This window comes from Homo sapiens, chromosome 15 (assembly GCF_000001405.40).
Source record: "Homo sapiens chromosome 15, GRCh38.p14 Primary Assembly".
Taxonomy (NCBI): Eukaryota; Metazoa; Chordata; class Mammalia; order Primates; family Hominidae; genus Homo; species Homo sapiens.
In genome coordinates, this window is record NC_000015.10 from 92961928 (window position 1) to 92984522 (window position 22595).

Here is a 22595-nt window from a genome sequence, read left to right on the forward strand (position 1 = left end):
GCTGGAGTGCAGGGTGCGATCTCGGCTCACTGCAACCTCCGCCTTCCAGTTTCAAGTGATTATCCTGCCTCAGCCTCTTGAGTAGCTGGGATTACAGGCACCTGCCACCACGCTTGGCTAATTTTTGTATTTTTAGTAGAGACGAGGTTTCACCAAGTTGGCCAGGCTGGTCTTGAACTCCTGACCTTGTGATTTGCCTGCCTTGGCCTGCCAAAGTGCTGGGATTGCAGGCGTGAGCCCCCGTGCCCGGACCCTCTGTTTTTCTGTTTATTTCCACTCTCAAAGGTTGCCGTCCTTTGCTTGCTTTTCATTTAATTTTCTCTTTTTCTCTTAAGATACAGTTTAGATTACTGATGTAAAACTTTTTTCTTTTCTAGTTGTTTAAAGGTATGTTTACTTCTATGCACTGCTTTAGCTGCATCCTGTAAATACTGATAATTTTGTGTTTTTGTTTTCATTTGATTTCATCTATTTTCTAAATTCTCTGTGATTTATTCTTTGAAGCATGGGTTTTTCAGAAGGATGGTGTTTAATATCCATATATTTAGGGATTTTCCAAATGTCTTATAATTCGGTTTTGTCTTAGAGAACATGCTTTAAATGAATTTATTATGACTTATTAAATAGTCTTAGTATGCTTTCTTTCCTGGAGACTGTCCGATAAGTGCTTGTAAAGAATAATCTGTATTCTGCCTTTGTTTGAGTAGTGTTTTGTAAATGTCCGTTCAGTGTGGTGTTAATGGTGTTGTTCAAGACTTTTATATCTTTTCTAACTGCCAGTTTAGTTGTGCTTTGAATTATTGAGAATGAAATATTTTAATTTTTAACTGTAGTTGAGTTTTTGTCTTCTAGTCATTTTTTGCTTCATTATTTTGGGGTTGTTCTGTTAGGTATGTATCCATTCATAACTTTTGTATGTTCCTGAGGTATTGACCTTTTTCTGGTCAATATCAGAATGTCCCATTTGACCTCTAATGATATTTATTGTTTTGTAAATCCATTTTGTGTGATTTTATTATAGCTCCTCAGCTCTCTTCTGATTCCTGTTTGCATGATATATTGTTTTCCATCATTCGAACTGGTTACCATTTGCATGGTATACTGTTTTCCATCATTTTACTTTCAACTTACTTCTTTCTGTAAGTCTAAAATGTGTCTTATAGACAACCTGTACTTGGATGTACCTTTTTTATCCAGGCAAATAATCCTTGCCTTTTGATTGGAATATTTAGTTCATTTACATTTAACAGAATTAATAATATGGTTGGATTTATTTCTGCTATTTTACTATTTGTTTTCCATATGTCTTACATCTTTTTTGTTCCACTTTCTCCTTTATTGCCCTCTTCTGTTTCAGCAAGTATTTTTCAGTGTGTCATTTTAATTCCTGTTAATTTTTTGCTATTAAAAAAATTGTAATTGGTTGCTGTAGGGATTGTATGCATCAGTCTTCTTCAGGTTAGTACTGACTCAGTTCTGGTAAAATAGGGCAACTTTGCCCCGCTGTAGCTCCATTTTCACTTCCTTATGTTATAAATCCAAGAATACAAGGAAATAATTATTGCTTTCCACAGGTTTGTCTTTTAAGGACATATAGAAAAGAGAAAAAAAATATATACTATCTTTCATATTTATCCATATATTTGATCATTTTCAGTGATCTTCATTTCTTCCTGTGTATTCAGGTCGCTGTTGGGTATTGCTTTCTTTTAGTCTGAAGGGCTTCCTTTATTTACATATTGCAAATAAGAATATGCTGGCTTAGATGATTAAAAGATGTCCCGTATGACACAGTCAATAAGTAGATAGACGAAGATCAATAGCAAATCTTCTGTGACCAAGGCCAGTGTCCTTTGAACTTCAAGTTCTAGGAGAAAAAAATACATCCTTCATAAAACCATTGAGACGAAGTAAGGTCACCCTACGTAGTAAGAGTTATGAGACACAGTGGGAACATCTGTGCTTGTTTTTATAGAAAAAGAATTGTGGTATGTAGTTTCTACCAGTGAATACTTAGCCATGATTTGCTTTTGTGTACCTACCTGCTGAAGTGGATGGTAGGGATTTTGCTCCTAAGTGGTCATAATTAGCTTTTTCCTGCCATTAAGTAGCTGTGGCATTCCACTCAGCATGGGCTATGTTTGGAAAAATGTCATATATCCTTCTTTTGTAATTGGAGAGAGGAACTTTCAATTACTTTATCATTCAGGGAGTCTCTTCCAAAATTTTCCTTTGGCCAGTTGAATCAATTATGGAATGATAGGTTAGAGTTAGAGATGCAAGTTTTTTTCTGTGAAAGAGATCTTTTTTTCTTTGAAAATTTTGTGTTTAAAGCATTGTCATTTTCAAATAAAGTTTCAAAATTGTTGTTCACAAAGATATGTATATGAAAAGGAAACCAATTAGTTAAGGAGTTCAGATTTGCCCTTATTTCTGCCTGAGCTTGCTGGATGGGTAACTATAGTCTTGTGAAGTATTTTGCCTCATCCTCAGCAGAAGTTCCTGAGGTACCTTAGGACTCTACAGAGCTTTTGAAGAAAGGATCCACTGAAGAAAAACTATTGTAAAGGAGAGAATTAGGTTTAGTCAAATAGCTTTGGAACTTCCCCACTCAAATGTTACAGGCTATTGTTTCAAAATCCAAAAGTTAGTCCTCTTTTTAACCAACTGAAATTCTGTTTCCTTAGTATAGAGTCTAAGTGCCTTTCCTGCAGGGTGGCTCTGACAGGGAGTACACATGACTAACCATATTGGGAATACTTATCAATCAATAGCTTCATTTTGTACATACTGTTTGCAAAGCATGGAACTTGGTATTAAGGGTAGAAAAAGATATGACAAGATTGAAAAATTCGGCTTATAAAGACCATCATGTGCAAATATATACTTCAGACTTACCGCAGAAAACAAGTCAGTTTGATAGCATGTATTTCAGAGATTACATCTTTTAGTGTTGGGATGATTTTTTAAATTTTTACTTCTGTCGTCTAGGCCAATCTCTTAATTTTTTTTGCACTTTTCCTTTTACATATTTACTGTGTGACTTTTAGCATACCATTTTCACTGCTTTGGTTTAATTTCCGTTGTTGGTCCTTATTAAAGTAACCTATTTTTCTAAAATTCCGTGTTCTGCAAAGCTATAAAGATCAGAATTTTTTCTAGTTCTGTGAGAGACAAATATTAAATACAGAAGTTGATAGCAGGGATTTATCTAAAATATGAATCTTTAGATGTAACATGGTGTCTTTATACATCACCACTATGACCTTATACCTTTTCTATATCTAATATTATAAATTAATAATTGTTTTCAGGGCAGCAGACTTTTTCTAAAGAATCTGATAGTATGCCGGGCGTGGTGGCTCACGCCTGTAATCCCAGCACTTTGGGAGGCTGAGGTGGGCAGATCACGAGGTCAGGAGATCGAGACCATCCTGGCTAACACGGTGAAACCCTGTCTCTACTAAAAATACAAAAAATTAGCCGGGTGTGATGGTGGGCGCCTGTAGTTCCAGCTGCTCAGGAGGCTGATGCAGGAGAATGGCGTCAACCCAGGAGCCCAGGAGGCAGAGCTTGCAGTGAGCCGAGATCGCACCACTGCACTCCAGCCTGGGCGACAGAGCCGAGACTCTTTCTCCAAAAAAAAAAAAAAAAAAAAAAAAAAAAAACCAACTCAGAATCTGATGGTAAATATTTTTGGTTCATAGCCCACACAGTCATTGTTAGCCACTCATCTCTGCTGTTTAGAGGAAAAGCAGCCATAGAGAATTCATAAACAAATAAATGATACTTATATCTCCTCAGTGTGTGTAGATCAAGAACTAGTGTCTCATATTAACTCCCTTAATATAATAAGAGTACAGTAGGCAGGTGAAAATATTTGTTGCTTAAAACATAGAGGAAGTAAATCTTGGAAATAAACTTTACATTTAATTTTTTAGATTAGTAAAGTTTTAATTTATTATAACATGTGTTAGGTAAATTAGCTTATTGAAATTGTCTCTCAGGTATTCAGAAAATAGCCTGATACAGTGATATTTCTACTTCTACTGATTTCCGGTCACTTCACACATTTAGTGTGTGAGGTATCATCTCCAGCATTGAGATAGTTCAGTTTTCTTTCTTTCTTTTTTCTTTTCTTTTTTTTTTTTTTTTTGAGACAGAGTCTCACTGTCACCCAGGCTGGAGTGCAATGGCATGATCTTGGCTCACTGCAACCTTCATCTCCTGGGTTCCAGTGATTCTCCTGCCTCAGCCTCCTGAGTAGCTGGGATTATAGGCACTTGCCACCATGCCCAGCTAATTTTTGTATTTTTAGTAGAGATGGGGTTTCACCATGTTGGCCAGGCTGGTCTCGAACTCCTGACCTCAGGTGATCCGCCCGCCTCAGCCTCCCAAAGTGCTGGGATTACAGGTGTGAGCTACTTCGCCCAGCCAGAGATAGTTCAATTTTCATTGTGCATTTGAATTATTAGTTTTAATTCCTCACCTATTTTATGTTCTTGGAGTATTTGCTTAATAGCATAGCAGTGTGAGAAAATACAGTTTACCTTAGGTTTATCAGGCTGTAGGCTTTAATGACGACTTTAGATGTCTACCCCAAAAGATCATATAATCTGCTTCCCTGTAGATTGTTTCAGGCCATACCGGGTGTTACTAAGGCTGATGTTGATTCACTTAACAATACCTGATAAAATGTATGGCTGGATATGGTGGCTCAAACTTGTAATTCCAGCACTTTGGGAGGCCGAGGCAGGCGGATCACTTGAGGTCAGGAGTTTGAGACCAGCCTGGCCAACATGATGAAACCCTGTCTCTACTAAAAATACAAAAATTAGTTGGGTGTGGTGGTGGCACCTGTAATCCCAGCTACTTGGGAGGCTGAGGCAGGAGAATCACTTGAGCCTGGGAGGTGGAGGTTGCAGTGAGCTGAGATTGTGCCACTGCATTCCAGCCTGGGCGACGGAGCGAGACTCTGTCTCAAAAAAAAAAAAAAAGGAATGACTATTTATGAGTTCAGAAATGACGGTGACTTTCTTGAGGCTGTTGTATCCATTGGCAGTACTGGCACCAGCTATATCTGACGTTCCATCTTACCAGAGGGCATGTGCTTTGAGTAGTTACTGAGTAGTTCTAGATGATGTTGGTTACATGATAGACTGAAGTATTTTATTAACTCTGAATTCAGTCTGAGAATTGGAAACGTGCTATTATCCAGTGTAGACTGATGGAGTTGATTTCATTTTACTTTTCCCCTTTTTGTTTTCCCTTCTATTTAAGAGCTCTAGTGATTGATAATGTCTTTCCTTATGGGAAAGATTCATTTTTTTACAGTTTTTTTTCCTATTCTTCTTTTCCTCAATGTGGCTAAATAACACTATACTGTTTCTTCCCTAGGTTTGAATTTTGGGAAGATTTTGAAGAAGACCATGGGAAGGGGAGAGAAAATGGCTACCAGAGTCTTCATAAGGTGCTAGAGCCTTTCCTTCTCCGGAGAGTCAAAAAAGATGTGGAGAAATCCCTTCCTGCTAAAGTGGAACAGATTCTCAGGGTGGAGATGTCAGCCCTTCAGAAACAGTATTACAAGTAAGTTCTTGTTTGGGTTAGGCCTGAAGGGGTTGAGATCAGTACCATGAAACTATTAGATAGGAGATATATATATATACTTTTGTTTTTTTTTTTTTTGGAGACAGAGTCTCGCGATTCTGCTGCCTCAGCCTACCGAGTAGCTGGGATTACAGGGATGCGCCACCACGCCCAGCTAATTTTTTTTGTATTTTTAGTAGAGATGGGATTTTTCCATGTTGGTCAGGCTGGTCTTGAACTCCCGACCTCAGGTGATCCGCCCACCTCGGCCTCCCAACGTTTTGTTGTTATTAAGCAAAATTTCAATACTGTTGTTATGTCTAAAAAATTTTAATAATTCCTTAACAGTTTCGTAATATCTAGTGTTTACATTTTCCTGGTTGTCATATACATGTATGTATATCTCCGTTTGTGCATGTGCCATTTTGCTTGTTTTGGGATCGATGTAAGCTCCGTGCATTTTGCTTGTTTTGGGATCGATGTAAGCTCCGTGCATTTTGCTTATTTTGGGATCAACGTAAGCTCCATGCATTTTGCTTGTTTGGGGATCGATATAAGCTCCATGCATTTTGATTGGTTGGTATGTCTCTTAAGTATATTTTAATCAATTTATTTTTCTTTGCCTTATAAATTTTTTGAGTCAGGAAACTGAATTTATGTTTTGTAGACTTTTCTCACAGTCTGGATTTTGCTGATTCTAGCTCCATGGCATTCTTTAATATTTTCAGCCAGGTGTGGTGGCTCACGCCTATAATCCCAGCACTTTGGGAGGCTGAGGCAGGAGGATCGCTTGAGCCCAGTAGTTTGAGACCAGCCTGGGCAACACAGTGAGACTCCATCTCTATAAAAATAAAAAAATTTTTAAAAACCACTTTTCCTCTGAACTGTGTTTTCTGTATACTCATAAGTAAGTGTAAAGGCTTGATTAGACTCAGATTCAGTGTGACTTTAGAGGCAGAGGAATATTGTTTCACAGGATAAATGTCCTTTTTTGTGATGTTAGTGACTAACGATGAGCATTGCCTAGATCTGTTAATTCATTAGAGAGTACAAAAGGGTGATATTCAAATTTTATCACTCACTTGTTTATTAGGTGGAATACTTTTATAAAAAGAAACTTTCCCATGTCAGCTGAGGAACAGTTCATGTAGGAAAGGCAGAATAAGATTCTTTTTTACTTTTGCCATTTTCAAAGGAAAAGATCTACTTTTCTTCAAAGGTTTTGACCAATGAGATTTACTTTGATATGATTATGAACTCATCAATTACACCTATTTATGTTTAATTCTGTTGGAGTTAATATCCATATTCATGCTCTAACAGTCCCATTTTTAGCTAGTGGGAACTCATTCAAGTTGGTTGTTGTAGTCCTTTTGACATAACCGTAATAGTAGTTGATAGTTTCTTTGCTATCTGGAATGATTAAGTGTTCCACATCCATCTTGTACATTTCCTGCCCCAGAACTAGAGTCAGCCATTTATCCAAGAAGTTCTGCATACTCCTTTACTAGGAAATGATATTTGTTTGTTTCTGTTTTTCCTCTGAAAATAGTTTAATACTGTAAAATGTAAAAGGGGAAATAGTGTTACCTTAGTAACAACATGAATGTGTCAGTTGGTCAGTGCTATTTTGGGTGTTGATTGATCATATGATTTTTCTGGCAACTCTAGATACTTCCAGTTTACTTAAGTTGATTTAGTTGAGTTTTTATCACTTGCAATTTAAGAGTCCTGGCTAATATTCTGTTGCCTTCAGGCTGCACAACATGCAGGATTGGGGAAAGCACTAGAGAGCCAAAGAAAGTGAGCAGAGTTACTTCAGGGCCACCAGCGTTCCCCGCAATCCCTGTCCTCAGGCATAGGCCCTTCTGCTCTTCCCACTGTAGAGCAGCACCCATCCCCACCAAACCTCACTTCTGGGTGTGACTTCATAGGCTGTCGTGTTCTGCAGTACCCTCGAGTCCGAGGCTGTTGAGTCTGAAGGATCCTCAGAAGACTGGCCTCTTTCTGATGGTTTATGGACTATGGCAAAGATGAGGAAATGGTATTTGGAGACCACATACTGGGCCCTAGGGGTGCTCTTTGCAACTGCAACAAACATGGACAGAATTGGGAAATTTGTTTTTAATGGTAAAAATACATGATGAACAGTACCACAGAGATTTTATTTGATCTTACTGATCTTATGCCATACTAAAAATCTCACTTCCCAACCACACCAAGCTAATTCATTCTATACATACAACAAAGCTAATACTACCACCAACAATAAGAATAGTAAAAACAGGTTAAGATTTTCTTTTTTTTTTTTTTTTTGAGACGGAGTCTCACTCTGTTACCCAGGCTGGAGTGTAGTGGCACGATCTCAGCTTACTGCAACAGGATTTTCTTTTTACAGGTTTTGTTTTTACTTTTTTTTTTGCTTTTTAAGGTTATATACCACAAGAAGTGGAAAAGAGTTTTAAAGTACTCAAGATAGTTTTTCTTCTGTGTCTTTAGGCAACTAATGGTTACATAGATTTATTTATTTCATTTTAGTTTTGATTTTTAGGGATTGCTTTAATTTTGTTTTTAAATTATAGTATTTGTAGATTTCCAAAGGCAAAGCTACAAAGCCTGGTATGTTCAAAGAAATGTAGCTTCAGTCCCTCTTCCCTCCATTCTAGTCCATCTTTCCCCATAGGTAATTATTATTATTATTTTTTGAGATGGAGTTTCGCTCTTGTTGCCCAGGCTGGAGTGTGATTGTGTGATCTCAGCTCACCTCAACCTCCGCCTCCCAGGTTCAAGTGATTCTCCTGCCTCAGCCTCCCGACTAGCTGGGATTACAGGCATGCACCAGTACGCCCAGCTAATTTTGTAGTTTTAGTAGAGATGGAGTTTCATCATGTTGGTCAGGCTGGTCTCGAACTCCCAACCTCAGGTGATCTGCCCCCTTCGGCCTCCCAAAGTGCTGGGATTAACAGGTGTGAGCCACCGCACCTGGCCCATAATTATTATTATTTTTTAACATTTTAATGCTTATCCTTCCTTTAACTTTTAATTATTAAATAAAAGCAAATGCATTTTAACTTTGAATATCCTCCTTTCTCTTAGGTAAGTGGTAGCATACCGTATACACTTTTCTCTGCCTTCCTTTTTTCCTTAATGATACATGGCTGAAGAGCACCCCATAGTAGCTTATAGAGATAGGCCTTTATGATGCATAGTGTTCCATTGAGGTTATATAGTATGGTTTATTCAACCAGTTTCCTTGTGGTAGGCACTTAGATTGTTTTACCTACTTTTATAAATAGTTCTGGAGTGAAGACCTTGAGATAGATTCCTAAAGTGTGATTTCTAAGAGAAGCATGAAGAAATTGCGCCACTCAGGAAAAAATGTACTTTTACTATTTTGGAGTTTGTGGTTAAGGAATATACATGGGTATACATGAATATATCTGTATTTCTCCTCCAAATTTGGGTAGAAAACATACTGATAAGTTATTTTGTCAGATAAAATACTCTTTTACAATGTTAAAATGGGTATGTAGCCTCTATTTTATGGTATATTTACATTTATTTAACCTCATAATGTTAGCTTATTTCCAATTTTTATATTTCAGTGAAGAGTGTTTCAGTGACAGTCATTTTCCATTCACACATGCACACACAGGTTGAGTCTCTTATCAAAAATGCTTGGGGACCAGAAGTATTTCAGATTTTGGGATATTTGCTTTATACTTACTAGTTAAGCATTCCAAATCTGGAAATCAGAACTGTAAAATGCTCTAATGAGAATTTCCTTTGAGCGTCATACTGGCACTCAGAAAGTTTTGAGTGCCATTTTGGAACATTTTAGATTTTCACATTTAGGATTCTCAGCCTTTGTGTACACACACACACTTAAATATGTATAAAGTACATGTGTGTAAATATGTAAAATGTATGTATGTATGTGTGTGTGTGTATATATGTAAAGCATATGTGTGTGTTGTGTATATGTAGAGAGAGTTGTTTTCTTCTAGTATTCCTGTGTTCAGTGAGGTTGAAATATCCAGCAGAATCTTTAACATTCCTAATTCTGACTGGAGATGTGAAAGATGTATGATTAGATGGCAGGAGATACAAAAGAAAATATTCTTTGCTTCTTAAACTTTTTTAGGCCTCTTTTTTTCTCCACAATACTACTACTATCTCTTATACTCTTCTGGTACCTACAACTTTCTGTTTTTTTGTATCTAGTAGTATCATTATCATTTTAATTTGCAGGTGGATTCTGACCAGGAATTACAAGGCTCTTGCCAAAGGAACAAGAGGCAGCACATCTGGTTTTCTTAATATTGTGATGGAACTGAAAAAATGTTGCAACCACTGCTATCTGATTAAACCCCCTGAAGAAAATGAAAGGGAAAATGGACAGGAGATTCTTCTGGTAGGTAGTTCCTCATAATTACTTTCTCAAAAAAAACGCTTAGTTTCTCTAGGTGCTTTTCATCAGAATGCTCTATTTCCTTGTTGGTGACCTATCAAGGATCATCAAAGGAAGCTTTAAAAATGGGAGAGAAAAGGTAACTAAGAATGATTTGGAAAGTAAAGTATAGTATCAACAGATACTGGGAAAAAGAACATTTCGGGAATTGCTGGTCAAGCAGGTTGCTAAGGGCTTCAGAAAGCTTTAAGATGATTTTTAAAATATGGATTTGTAGAGATTAGGGAAGATTAAAATTTGTGTTTCAACATAATTATTGGAATGTCTTTTAAATCTTCAGTCCCTCATAAGGAGCAGTGGGAAGTTGATTTTATTAGACAAACTGTTGACAAGACTTCGAGAAAGGGGGAATCGAGTGCTTATCTTCTCTCAGATGGTGAGAATGTTGGATATCCTGGCTGAATACCTAACTATTAAACACTATCCTTTCCAGGTAAGGTGATTTCAGTAATTGCTGTGGGGGGAATCAATCTCTCTCTCCGCCTCCCCTCCCCAACCTTCCTACACTGGGTTGTATGCTTTGCTTGTTAAAGTAGGAAGTAAGAGTTTTCTTGTTTCAAAGAAGTTAAGGTTAAGATTCCAGGGGGCCGGGCGCGGTGGCTCACGCCTGTAATCCCAGCACTTTGGGAGGCCGAGGCGGGCGGATCACGAGGTCAGGAGATCAAGACCATCCCGGCTAAAACGGTGAAACCCCGTCTCTACTAAAAATACAAAAAATTAGCCGGGCGTAGTGGCGGGCGCCTGTAGTCCCAGCTACTTGGGAGGCTGAGGCAGGAGAATGGCGTGAACCCGGGAGGCGGAGCTTGCAGTGAGCCGAGATCCCGCCACTGCACTCCAGCCTGGGCGACAGAGCGAGACTCCGTCTCAAAAAAAAAAAAAAAAAAAAAAGATTCCAGGAGGGTCTTAATTTTTACTTGCATGCCTTTAGGCTACCATATGAAAGTGGTCATGAGGAGACGATTCTTTTTTTGAAGGTGGGTGGGGAGGATTAGAGAAAGTCAAACGGGGCAAGATAAAAAAAGGATGTCAGATGGCATCTTATTGCATGTGTATGGTGAAAGTAGAGAGGAAGTAAGTGTGAGCTCAATTCCAGGAGCCCAAATCCTAGAAGGAGAGGGCAGTATCAGACATTCCCCCCAAAAGTTGACCCTGGCTGTGAGGCTGGGAACATAGCAGAACACTGCTACTTAAAACCTTGCTACTCCCTGAAGTAAGTGATGATGGCTTCCCCTATTTTCTGTGGAGTTCCTTAACTGGAGTTACTGTCTTCACACAGTTATCTCCTATGGGGAAAATTTCTTCCGCATAGTAACATTTTTCTAGGTGTATATAATCTAGTAGAAACTTATTCTCTGATCTATTTATAGACACATAGACATATACGCAATTTACCTTGTCTCTTGGCATGTTTATAGTGCTTTGATTTTTAAGATTTATTACATTTTTTTTAAAACTTTGAATGGATGAACTCTTCTACCAACTCACATAATTATGTTGGGATTGAAGAAACTTGGACCAATGATTATCTCCTAAGAAGGCCCACCTTTGAGACTATCAGATTGATTATCTTTCAAAATACCCTGAAAGGCATTGTTATATCCATAATATCTTATATGGTCTTTCAGTTGCTGTCTTAGAATATAGCTTAAGGCTGTGCTTGTTATCAAGAAACAGCCTATTGCAAAAAGTCACTTCTCTGTCAGTGAATCGAATCCCTATGAGCTTTCATTCCTAGGAAATCCCGTGATACCAAGTAAATCAAGAATGCATCGTTTTTCTCTCTAGGGAATAGATAAGCTTGGTCAGTGACTTTTAGATAATTAATGCCCTCTACTAATGGGAATATTAAAAGGCGGCATTAGGTTTTCTGATTTCAAGTAAAGGCTCTGAATCTCCCATTGAATACGTCTTCGGTTTAAGGCTCTGAGTAGAGTAGTCAGTGAGAAAGAAGTAAGGGACTCCTCACCTGTCAGTTGACTTGAGTTAGGTCTGGTGGGCAGAGTTCTGGGTATGTAGGCCCTTCCACAGAGTCTGCTGCCAGCCAAGTCACCTTTCAGGTTAGTTTTGCCTTCTGTAAAATGAAGTATTTTGTTCATCTCAAGTGGTGATTGTGAGGGGATGAAATGCAAAAATGATTTTAAAGAGTAAGAAATGCTTTATAAAATGTACAGCATGCAGGTGATAATTCTTTAGTATTTTATGTGTCAATGGTTTCTCTATGGTGACATTGTATTGCATGTAGAACTGACATATGTTCTAATAAAGGAATTGTGTATGCTAATAAATGCCAGGGGCTTTCTTGAATTCTCATGTAGTTTAGCTGCTTGAACACTTTACTATGATTTCAGAGTGTAATTTTTGGCAAAGCTGGGATATATGATCAATTTTAACATTTTCAATGATTCAGCAAAATGTTTTTCAAACAAAATTATTATATAAATAAATTTTTGGTTTGTGTGACACTTTAAGTGATAGTTTTAGCCACATTAGCTAAGAAGCATCATTTTTCTGCAGGAGCTTATTATTGGGTGACCCGTGGTCCTATTTCCTAATCTCTGCAGTACCTACAGAAACAGAAGTAAACCCAGCCTCCAAGCACAGGTTGGGTTTTCGTCTTTCTCCTTTTAGGTCCTGGCAGCCATTCTGATCCTTGGCTAAACCTGGACAGCCCTTTGAATCAGAAGCTTGTAACCTTGAGTCTGTAACTGGAGAGCTCAGGTCGAGTAGGGTAGGGTGTGCTTCTTAAGCACAGCTTCTTCATAGCGCTTTGCCAGTGCTTTGCAGTTATTTTTACTCAGTGGGTGTTCAGGTGATAAAGGTTCCAAGTCTGCTGTTCTATTCTGAGTGTAGCTGATCTTCCTATCTTACAGTTTTCTTGTGGTTTATTTTTACAGCGTCTGGATGGTTCCATCAAGGGAGAAATCCGAAAACAGGCACTGGACCACTTCAATGCAGATGGGTCTGAGGTATACTATGCATGGCTTTGTTATTTGAGCAACTTGGGCTCTGCATCAAGGGGAAAGTCTCTCTCGCTTAATGTATTCTGTTTCAGAAACAATTTATAGTGCAATTCTTTTGCCTTGAGAAGAAAATGAGAAATCTCTCATATAAAAGATGGTGTTTTGTTGTCACTCCAGAAAAATAAATATGTGCTTATTTATCTCCCCTGTTCTGGGTTGACAACAGAGTGGTTCTCCTGGTAGCTTCCAGATACCAAATCCTTGGGCGTGGAAGAGCAGTAAGGCAGGAGTAGGGGAGAGTTGGGCAATAGAATTAATATAAGAAGGTTCTGATCTCTGTACTCTTTTGGTGACTAAGTCCTGAAAAATATATTTGCCATGTCTCAAATTTGTTGGACTTCTGATACAGTGTGGCTTAATGTTCTTGCTCTCGCTAACAGCAACATTTTACAATCAGTGTCGAGCTTGGATTTGGCATTATGAAGTATTTTGTTTGGGGGGCACATATAGAAGAGCTACTTAGGATGAAATAGAAGGTATGACAACATTGTAGTTTGTGCATATCAAATCATCAGATGCCATGGGATTTGAGAGAAGTGGGAGAGAAAAGTTTTGGTGTGAATAAAACTGTAATAATGTGTAGAGCTAAAGGAAGCAGTGGAGACAACCTGAAGTAGAAGTGTTTCACAGAGAATGCTAATTTCTGGAGCCTGAGCCACTACTTTTTTTTTTTTTTAAACAGATAGAACAGACTTAGCTTTCTGAAGAGCTTTAAAAACTCTTGATGCCTGTGCCTGTTACTACAGAATGCTCTGCTGTCTGCCTTTAGAGTGTAGAAATCCTAGTTAGACTAGTATTCTGGCTACTTCTGTAGTCTAAACATTTACTTCTTGAGGGGCTTGGGGCATTAATCTATTCAGAGCCAAGGCTCTCGTTCATTAAGGATAAGAGGAATGGAATAATTAAAGACATCGGTCATCAACTAATTCCCATTCCTCCTTTCCTTGCTCCTTGTTTCCTCAGCTGTAAAATCACAATGATTCTGATACCCCACTTCATAATATTGCTCTGAGGATTAAATTTGGTAATCAACATAAAGCACTGATCACATTGCCCAGTGCATAGTAAGCGCTCTAAATATCTGCTATTTTTATCATGTAGTGTTGGTTGAAATTGGTTTTGTGTTCTCCACTCTTAGTTTAAAAAATAGTATGAGTCGAATGTTTCATATTGCCCTGTCTCAGGGGAAAAAAAAAATTGCTTTTTGCATAGCTCTCAGTTGATTCCCACTCACTATGATGGCTATATAGAACACAAGTTCTCTACCATTTCTGCAGTATTTTAAAAATTCCTTTAAAAAACTAAATATTTATTGTGGGACAAAATATTATATGCTTACTTAGAATATTGGGAAGATGGTAAAGAATACAAAGAAAAAAACAATTGTACCCCTCATTCTAGACACAACTTGCTGTTCACGTCTTTGGGGTGTATTTCCATTCCTACTAGATGGAACCATTTATATGTTTACCTAATTCGGATCATGTTGCATACAGTTTTGTTCCCTTCAAAATTATACTTTGAGGCTAGGCGCGCATAGTGGCTCACACCTGTAATCTTAGCACTTTGGGAGGCCAAGATGGGGGAGGATCACTTGAGACCAGGAGTTTGAGACCAGCCTGGTCAACATAGTGAGACCTGTCTCTACCAAAAAAAAAAAAAAAAGTTTCCCCATGTTATTAAAGATTTTACAAAATTTAATTTCTAGGCCCATAGCAAGACCCTATCTCTACAAAAAATTAAAAAATGAGCCGTGCATAGTATTGTGTGCTTGTAGTTCCAGCTGTTCAGGAGACAGGCAGGAGGATCCCTTGAGACCAGGAGTTTGAGGCTGCAGTGAGCCAGGATTGCCCCACTGCACTCCAGCCTGGGTGACAGAATGAGACCCTGTCTCAAAAAAAAAAAAAAATTTTTTTTTTAAATTTCTAAATTTTTCTTATGCTTGTACCATTTATTTATTTAACTACCTTACCGTTAGTGGCATTGAGTTTTATAATTTTTTAACCTTTTTCAACTTGATCATAGATGCAGACGACATATTATAATCCACGTTATCCTTGCTAAAGAGTGATATAGCAGATTGTTGGTTGATAGGATCTTTTTGACTCCAGATTTCATTTGTTTTAGATATCTCATCTTAAATTGTCCACTGTTTATCTTTAGACTTCTCTTTGGAGTGTGGTGGTGCTTAATATTTCTCTTAAGAATCACAGATTATGTGCCTGGACACTCCTGTTGATCACTTCTTTATTGGAATTGTTTAATTAAAATTCTTGTGAAGCAGCTGTCTCCATTTTTATTTCTATGGCATAATGTTGTTGAATGTGACTATTAGAACATGGAGACCTTTTCATTGCATCTCTATGTGTATGCTAAATATACCCATTTATCAAGATGGAACTCAGGACTACCAGTTTTTCAATGCTGCTTCTCTCTGCTACAAAGGCATCAGCTTTTGACATATATGATTAAATTCCCTGAAAATAGAAATATTTCACCTTTTCCCCCCGGCTTATATATTTTATTCTTTTTCTCCTGCCCCCATATTTTTCTGAGCACTCAGACGCAGGCAGGTGTGCTGTGCTTGCCCAGTGTCTACTGTCATTGCTGTGGATACTGCAGTGTCAGTGCCTGGGTGGTTCCACACATCGCTCTCCAGCCAAACCTGTTTTGATTTTTTTATAATTTTGGCATGTTTTGTGGTAATTGAGGATCCTGTGGTTCTCAACACTTACCATATATGATCTCTTTAGTGCAGTGTTTCTATATTTCTCGCCAGCCTAACAAACATAAATATTTATATAATAAAGTATCTCTGTTTATACTAACTGACTTACATGGCATAATCTACCTTTTCCCTAAAAATAATTATACAGGTGACTTCCTGGAGTTAATGATCTCCATGATAATTGTTTGTCTGTTTTTATTATTGTTGCTGTTAACTTCTTGTATATTAGTTGTAGCCGGGAGGTAGCACTAATTCTCTCACTCCCATTGCCTTATTAGAGTCTACTCTACTCCTGTTCATGGCACTGACTTTGCCTCTTAATCAAATGAAAATTCATTCTACCATCAAGTCCCTGACATTCTTTTAGCCTCCATAAAGTTTGTCCATCATATCTCACTTTTCTTCACACCTGCAGGGGTTTCCAGGTGTAAGGGCTTATTGGACTGTGAAACTGTTTCTGAGAAGGCCACTGCATAAAGTAGTATATTGCATTGTGTACAGGACTTCTGTTTCCTGCTCTCGACAAGGGCTGGTGGCCTGGGAATCAATTTGGCTTCAGCGGACACAGTCGTCATCTTTGACTCTGACTGGAACCCCCAGAATGACTTGCAGGCACAAGCCCGAGCGCATAGAATTGGTCAAAAGAAGCAGGTCAGTATGGAGAGGCTTCTGGAAATTGCTTTAGGGTTGGGGGCCAGGGGGCTTGTTCAGCCCTTTCAGGATGTTAATAAAATGCTTTTTCCCTGTTTTGCTTTTATTTCCCCTGAAGCATTGATTTCTGTTTGTTAACTAGCACAGAGATGTTGTCTTTGGGCCCAAGATGAACCTATTAAGGAACTTTTCTTTTTCTCTGTTTGAAAAGTACAACATCAGCGACCTTCTATGTGTTTATCTTGAGAGAGATATATGATGAATAGACTTAGAACTGAACATTTTCTCTATTTTAGTATGGAAAAGTTAAATATCCTATTGTTCAAGATGGTTTGTTTTTATTATACATGACAGTGTTAGCTTTAAAGGTACTTTGGAAAACCACACACTTTTTTGTTTATGAATCTTAAAGTCTGTTCTATATTGGATAACCCGTAAGTTTCATTCTTGGCCAAAGATTCTGTTTTTGTGGAACTTTCCATCACTGAAGCACGATTTTTATTGATGGAACAGGCCATAACGACAGATCTTTAGAGGCAATTTTATTTAAGACTGTAACCTGCTGCACATAGTAAAAGTATTGCATCTACTTAAGCTGCCTGCTTGGATGGCTTACAGTCTTCTATGGTTAGAGAATAAATTCTGTTAAAATTTTCCCCTCTTGGGTTTTGACAGAGCTAATCCTTCTCTCTTTTTTTGGGGGGGTTGGGGGGTGGTTCAGGCATAAGCATAACAGTTCCTTTTCCTACAGGTAAATATTTACCGCTTAGTTACAAAGGGGACTGTGGAGGAGGAGATCATAGAACGGGCCAAAAAGAAGATGGTATTAGATCATCTGGTGATTCAGCGCATGGACACCACTGGCCGGACGATCCTGGAAAACAACTCAGGAAGGTCCAAGTAAGTGCCAGGAAGATTGGGAGGTAGGCAGAATCAAATTGATTCTACATCACTGTTGGATATAATAGGATTTTCTACCACAGACATTAGTCTGTTCATTACCTGGAAGATGCCAGGCCAGAACCACAAATAGGATAGCATTTTCACTTTGAGTTTCTTGGTTCCTTTTTTTGCCCATCACCCCCCTTCTTATGTGTTTTCCTCTCTTTCTTGCCCTCTCCCTTACCTTTGCTTTTGGCTGCTCATGTGACATATGACACAGCAACAGCAGTGGAGTTGTGTGTTGGGTGTCAGCCTAGCATAATGTCACCTTTGACTTTTCTGCAGTGAGAATCCAGATTGGATTGGCAGCTGTTTTTTTTTTTTACTATTGGCAAAAATGTTTGTGTGGAGATTGTTGTGCTTCCAGAAGGGTGTAAAAAGAAAGTAATGAAGTTTTAATTGGCTTTGGGAAGAGGCACAGCTACATCTCCTATAAAGTTTAATTAGCCAGGCATGGTGGCAGGCGCCTGTAGTCTCAGCTACTTGGGAGGCTGAGGCAGGAGAATGGCGTGAACCCGGGAAGTGGAGCTTACAGTGAGCCGAGATTGTGCCACTGCAGTCCAGCCTGGGCGACCGATAATAATAATAATAATATCAAAATAATAATATCAATATTATCAAGATAATAATGATATCAAAATAATAATAAAAATAAGTTTACATTTTGAGCAGATTGTTGAGTGTCTTCTGTGGTGGTGTTTCAGCTATGTTTTTTGTTTGTTTGTTTGTTTGTTTTTGAGATGGAGTCTCGCTCGGTCGCCCAGGTTGGAGTGCGCTGGCACGATCTTGGCTCATTGCAACCTCTGTCTCCTAGGTTGAAGTGATTCTTGTGCCTCAGCCTCCCGAGTAGCTGGGACTACAGGTGTGCACCACCACACCTAGCTAATTTTTTTTTTCTTTTTTTTTTTTTTTTTTAGTAGAGACAGGGTTTTTCCATGTTGGCCAGACTGGTCTCAAACTCCTGACCTCAAGTGATAGGCCCACCTCAGCCCCTCAAAGTGCTGGGATTATAGGTGTGAGCCATTGTGCCCGCTGCAGCTATGTTAAAGGTGTATTCAAATTAGCCCTTCCTAAATAAAATGTTTTCAGATAGTTTTCTGTTTAAGAGGAAGCTAGATGAGAAAAGCCTAGCTCTTTTATTTTGGACCGGGGTTGAGAAGGTTGAAAATTCTTGGTGAATTATAACTTTCTGAGTAAAAGGCCAAAGGAAAGAGCTCCATTCTATAACATTGCTAGTCACCTTTCTGGCTTACCCATGCAATAGGTGAACCAGTAGGACTGTAACTAATTTTCTATTCTGCTGGTTTAGGGTTACCATCACAGACTCATCCTGTAGATAGAAAATGCGATGTTTGAGAAATCATTTTTCTTGAGGCAGAGTTTATATTTTCAGCAGTTAACTTGACCTCTTTCTGAAGGATAGTTATTCTGAAGTAGAACACTTTAGAGGTTATTTGATGTTTCTAACAACTACATTTTACTTCCACAGCTCAAATCCTTTTAATAAAGAAGAGCTGACAGCTATTTTGAAATTTGGAGCAGAGGATCTCTTCAAAGAACTGGAAGGGGAGGAATCAGAACCTCAGGTAATTAACAATGAGGAGAGGGAAATTTTTTTGAGAAGTATGATCTGTGAGAGTCTAACTTTTCTGTAAGAAGATTCTGTTAGAGGCTTTTGTAAAGAAAAAGTAATTACTTGAAGGACAGTGTGTTTTTCTTTCGTAGGAATCTCATAGCTCTTACCAAATTGAGTAGGAAGGAATTAATAAAGCATTCGAGTATACTTTTTTGGGTTGTTTTTTTCTCCCATTTCTGTTCGTTTTAATTTTTGAAGTTTCACCTTGTCATTTGTATAAATTATAGTTTGAGACATTAGATGTAAAAGATGTAGAGTTGAAACTGAAAGTAAATGAAATATCAGAAAGGAGAATTGGTTTATTTGCACCAAACATTTTTAGTAAATACGAATAATTTCTGGGCAACTAGGCAACTCATCTGTTGCCATTTTATTCTATTCGTGTTGGCTTTTGTTCTTTTAGGAAATGGATATAGATGAAATTTTGCGGTTGGCTGAAACGAGAGAGAATGAAGTGTCAACAAGTGCAACAGATGAACTTCTATCACAGTTTAAGGTATGAAGATCTTTGTGGGAGAGAGTTCTCAGCATTGATTCATTAATGATGACTAATGTTTATGAACGCTTTCTTTGTGCTAGGCGCTCTGCTTTTCTCTTTACCTGAATTGAGTCATATCCTCAATATTGTTCTCTGAATTGTGAGTATGTTGTGAATGTAGGTTCTACAGTCCGCACGAAGGTAATCACTGAAGTGGGCTATCCTATGTAGAGTCAGTGTGTGGCGGAAAAGAAATCACTGAAGAGAGGGCTAGGTAGAGAGCCAGGACAGAGTGTAGAACCAGGACGTGTGGAGCACTGTGGGACACGTCAATAGATCAGATGCCAAAGAGAGGTCAAAGATAGGAAAAGAGTAGATGACAATTAGAAGGTTCTGATGACTTGGTGAGATTTTAGTTTGTTTTTTGTTTGGTAAGTGAGAGAAAGAGGTGTCAGTGGTGTCTCATATAACAGAAAATTACATGAAATGAGGACTAAACACAAAAGTTGGGCACCAGACGAATAGGAGGTGGCAGCACAGAGTATCAATGTTATTAAAAAGCTTAGTGAAAGAGTACAGGGATGCTAAATTATATGGCTAGAAGGTTGAAGCAAGACAAGGTTTTTGAAAGATGTTACCATGTTTCTAGTTTGAGGAAAGAACTTGAGTATAGGGAGATATTGAAGGTTCTCAGGAAGGAAATGATTTGATGGCACATTGCCCCAGAGGAGACTGGAAGGGATACAGTCAAAAGCACAGATGGAAGACTTGGCCTTGGAAAGAAAAAGGACAAGTACACTTTAGGGAAGAGGAGGAAAGAGATGCTGTGGGAGTTTAATTTATGCTCTTAATGACTAGTAAAGTAAGTGAGGTGTTTGCTTGAGAAGTGGAAAAGATTTGGGACAGCCATGGATGAGGCAGAAAGTTGTTGGGAGGAACCTGATAGGGAGTCAGCTGAATTGAGATGATACAGCTTTGCCGTGGAGCCAGTCAGCAGGGTCATATGACTTTCTCCAGCAATACTTTTGAGGTCAGAGAAATTGGATCAGTTGGCTATCCCAAGGTGGGAGATTGGCTTGGGAGGCACAGGAAAGTCAAAATAGCAAAGGTTTTCAAGATTCATGTGACAGCTTGGAAGGAAGGATTGACCATGGGTTGATTCCATGGAGGTAGAGAAGCAAGAGAGACCTGATGATTACAATGATGGCTAAGTGTAGTATGCCCATTAGGATTGAATTGAATTAGGGGAAATTGTGTGAAGTGTTTGGAAGGAAGCAATATTGTGTGATTAGCTCCAAAGCTGGCCACTGGTAGAAGTTGTTTCAATGGAAGAACAAGGATGGAATTGAGTGGGCCAGAGAGCCCTAGATTAATGGGTTAGGATGCAGAGGATGGGGTAGAGAAGGGGGAAGGTGATTTATTAGTGTTCGTCATAGTCGGTTTGGGCTCCTGCAGTAAAATACCGTAGACTGGGTGGTTTATAAACAATAGAAATGTATTTCTCACAGTTCTGAAGATTTGAAGTTTGAGATCAGGGTGCCAACATGGTCAGGTTCTGGTGGAGGCTCTCAGGTTGCAGACTGCTGACTTTTCTTATCTTCCCATGGTAGAGAGAGAGAAGCTAGAGAGCTCTCTGGGGGTCCCTTTTATAAGGGCAGTAATCCTATTATGAGGGCTCTACCCTCATGACCTCCTAACACCTTACATTGGGAGTTAGGATTTCATCCTATGACTTTTGGGAAGAACATAAACATTCAGTCCATTGCACTGTTTCAGCTCAGTTCCACCTCTGTGACTGCTGCTCCTTTCTTCAGCAATAAAAACCTGCACTTGTGTAACTCTTACTGTGTTTCAAGCACTATCTTAAGTTAAGGGCCAGAGTCTGGCCTTTAACCACGATGTCCCTTTTGGAAAAGTTAAATTCCTTACTGCATGAACCACTAACGTATGTGCATATTTACATCAATCTTAATTTTAGTTAATTTTAGCCAAAAGTCATAAAGTAAGAGTCTTAACTTGACTTCACTGTTGGCTCCAAGGAATGGAGCCTCCAGAAGCTCATTTATACCTTATGACTGTCTCAAAGGCTAGGAGGGAGGGAATAAGAAGAATGCGGAGCCAGGCTGGGGGCTGCCTGCCACTGCTCAGATGCTGTCCAGAGGTGGTAGATGTTTCTGTGTACTCCTCCTCTGGTTCTTTGAAATGGATACACTTAGATGGCTTTCTTTCTGGGATACCTACTGTTTTAGTACAAATACATATCGGATATTAAATAATATTTGATAAGAAATGAAGAGAATATTCTTCTAGATTTATTTAAATTTTTTCTGTTTTATGTTTTCATTTTATTTCCTAAGACTAAAGTGCACTTGTGAGCATATGAAATCACCACACATCTTTAACTTTCATATTTTTGATAAAAATGAATAAAGCAACCAGTTGGCTAGATGATAATGAGTGCTTTGAGTTATGCATTGTTTCAAATGAACTCTATACAACTTATAGAAATGTAAGTTCATCATGGAGTATTAGGTATTAAGCATTTTAAAATCTAAATAAATCTAAATTTTATCATTAGTATTATATTTATTAGAACATGTATATGATTTATAACAGCTCATTCAATAAAACTTATAAAAACAATTTGTATCTTTGTAGCTGTTTCTCTGCTTTTCAGTAAAATTTATGATGTGATGAACTTGAGGACTTGACAAGTTGATTTTTGGGGGTATAAAGGAAAAATTAATAGAAAATTGATTATCTGATTATGTAATATCACAAAAGTCCTATTATTCACAGTGTCTACTTAGATAAAAACACTGGATAAATTGTTTTAGTAGATGGTGTTTAGAAATAGGGAAATGTCAGACAATGGGTTGTCTGTTTTAAGGTTGCCAACTTTGCAACAATGGAAGATGAAGAAGAGCTAGAAGAGCGTCCTCACAAGGACTGGGATGAGATCATTCCAGAGGAACAAAGGAAAAAAGTAGAGGAGGAAGAGCGGCAGAAGGAGCTAGAAGAAATTTATATGCTGCCTCGAATTCGGAGTTCCACTAAAAAGGTGATCAAGTGAGATGAAAGAT

General features: G+C 38.4%; 1 protein-coding gene across 1 annotated transcript in view, besides 1 other annotated feature; it reads left to right on the top strand.

The window, feature by feature from the left end:
* CHD2 (chromodomain helicase DNA binding protein 2) overlaps positions 1-22595 on the top strand; it is a 127673-nt gene that overhangs the window by 61604 nt on the left and 43474 nt on the right. Inside the window, exons 17-25 of the mRNA NM_001271.4 lie at positions 5398-5586; positions 9838-10000; positions 10338-10490; positions 12952-13023; positions 16307-16456; positions 17208-17356; positions 18888-18984; positions 19438-19530; positions 22403-22573. Of these exons, the coding sequence (NP_001262.3) occupies positions 5398-5586; positions 9838-10000; positions 10338-10490; positions 12952-13023; positions 16307-16456; positions 17208-17356; positions 18888-18984; positions 19438-19530; positions 22403-22573 (1237 nt within the window). The remainder of the gene's footprint in view (positions 1-5397; positions 5587-9837; positions 10001-10337; positions 10491-12951; positions 13024-16306; positions 16457-17207; positions 17357-18887; positions 18985-19437; positions 19531-22402; positions 22574-22595) is intronic.
* Positions 18820-20019: an enhancer, noted in NCBI's record as "P300/CBP strongly-dependent group 1 enhancer chr15:93523977-93525176 (GRCh37/hg19 assembly coordinates)". NCBI's record gives its function as "activates an origin of replication core promoter dependent on BRD2, BRD4, P300/CBP, MED14 and CDK7 cofactors, with strong dependence on P300/CBP, by STARR-seq in HCT116 cells {active_cell/tissue: HCT116}" and the evidence as "EXISTENCE:reporter gene assay evidence [ECO:0000049][PMID:35650434]".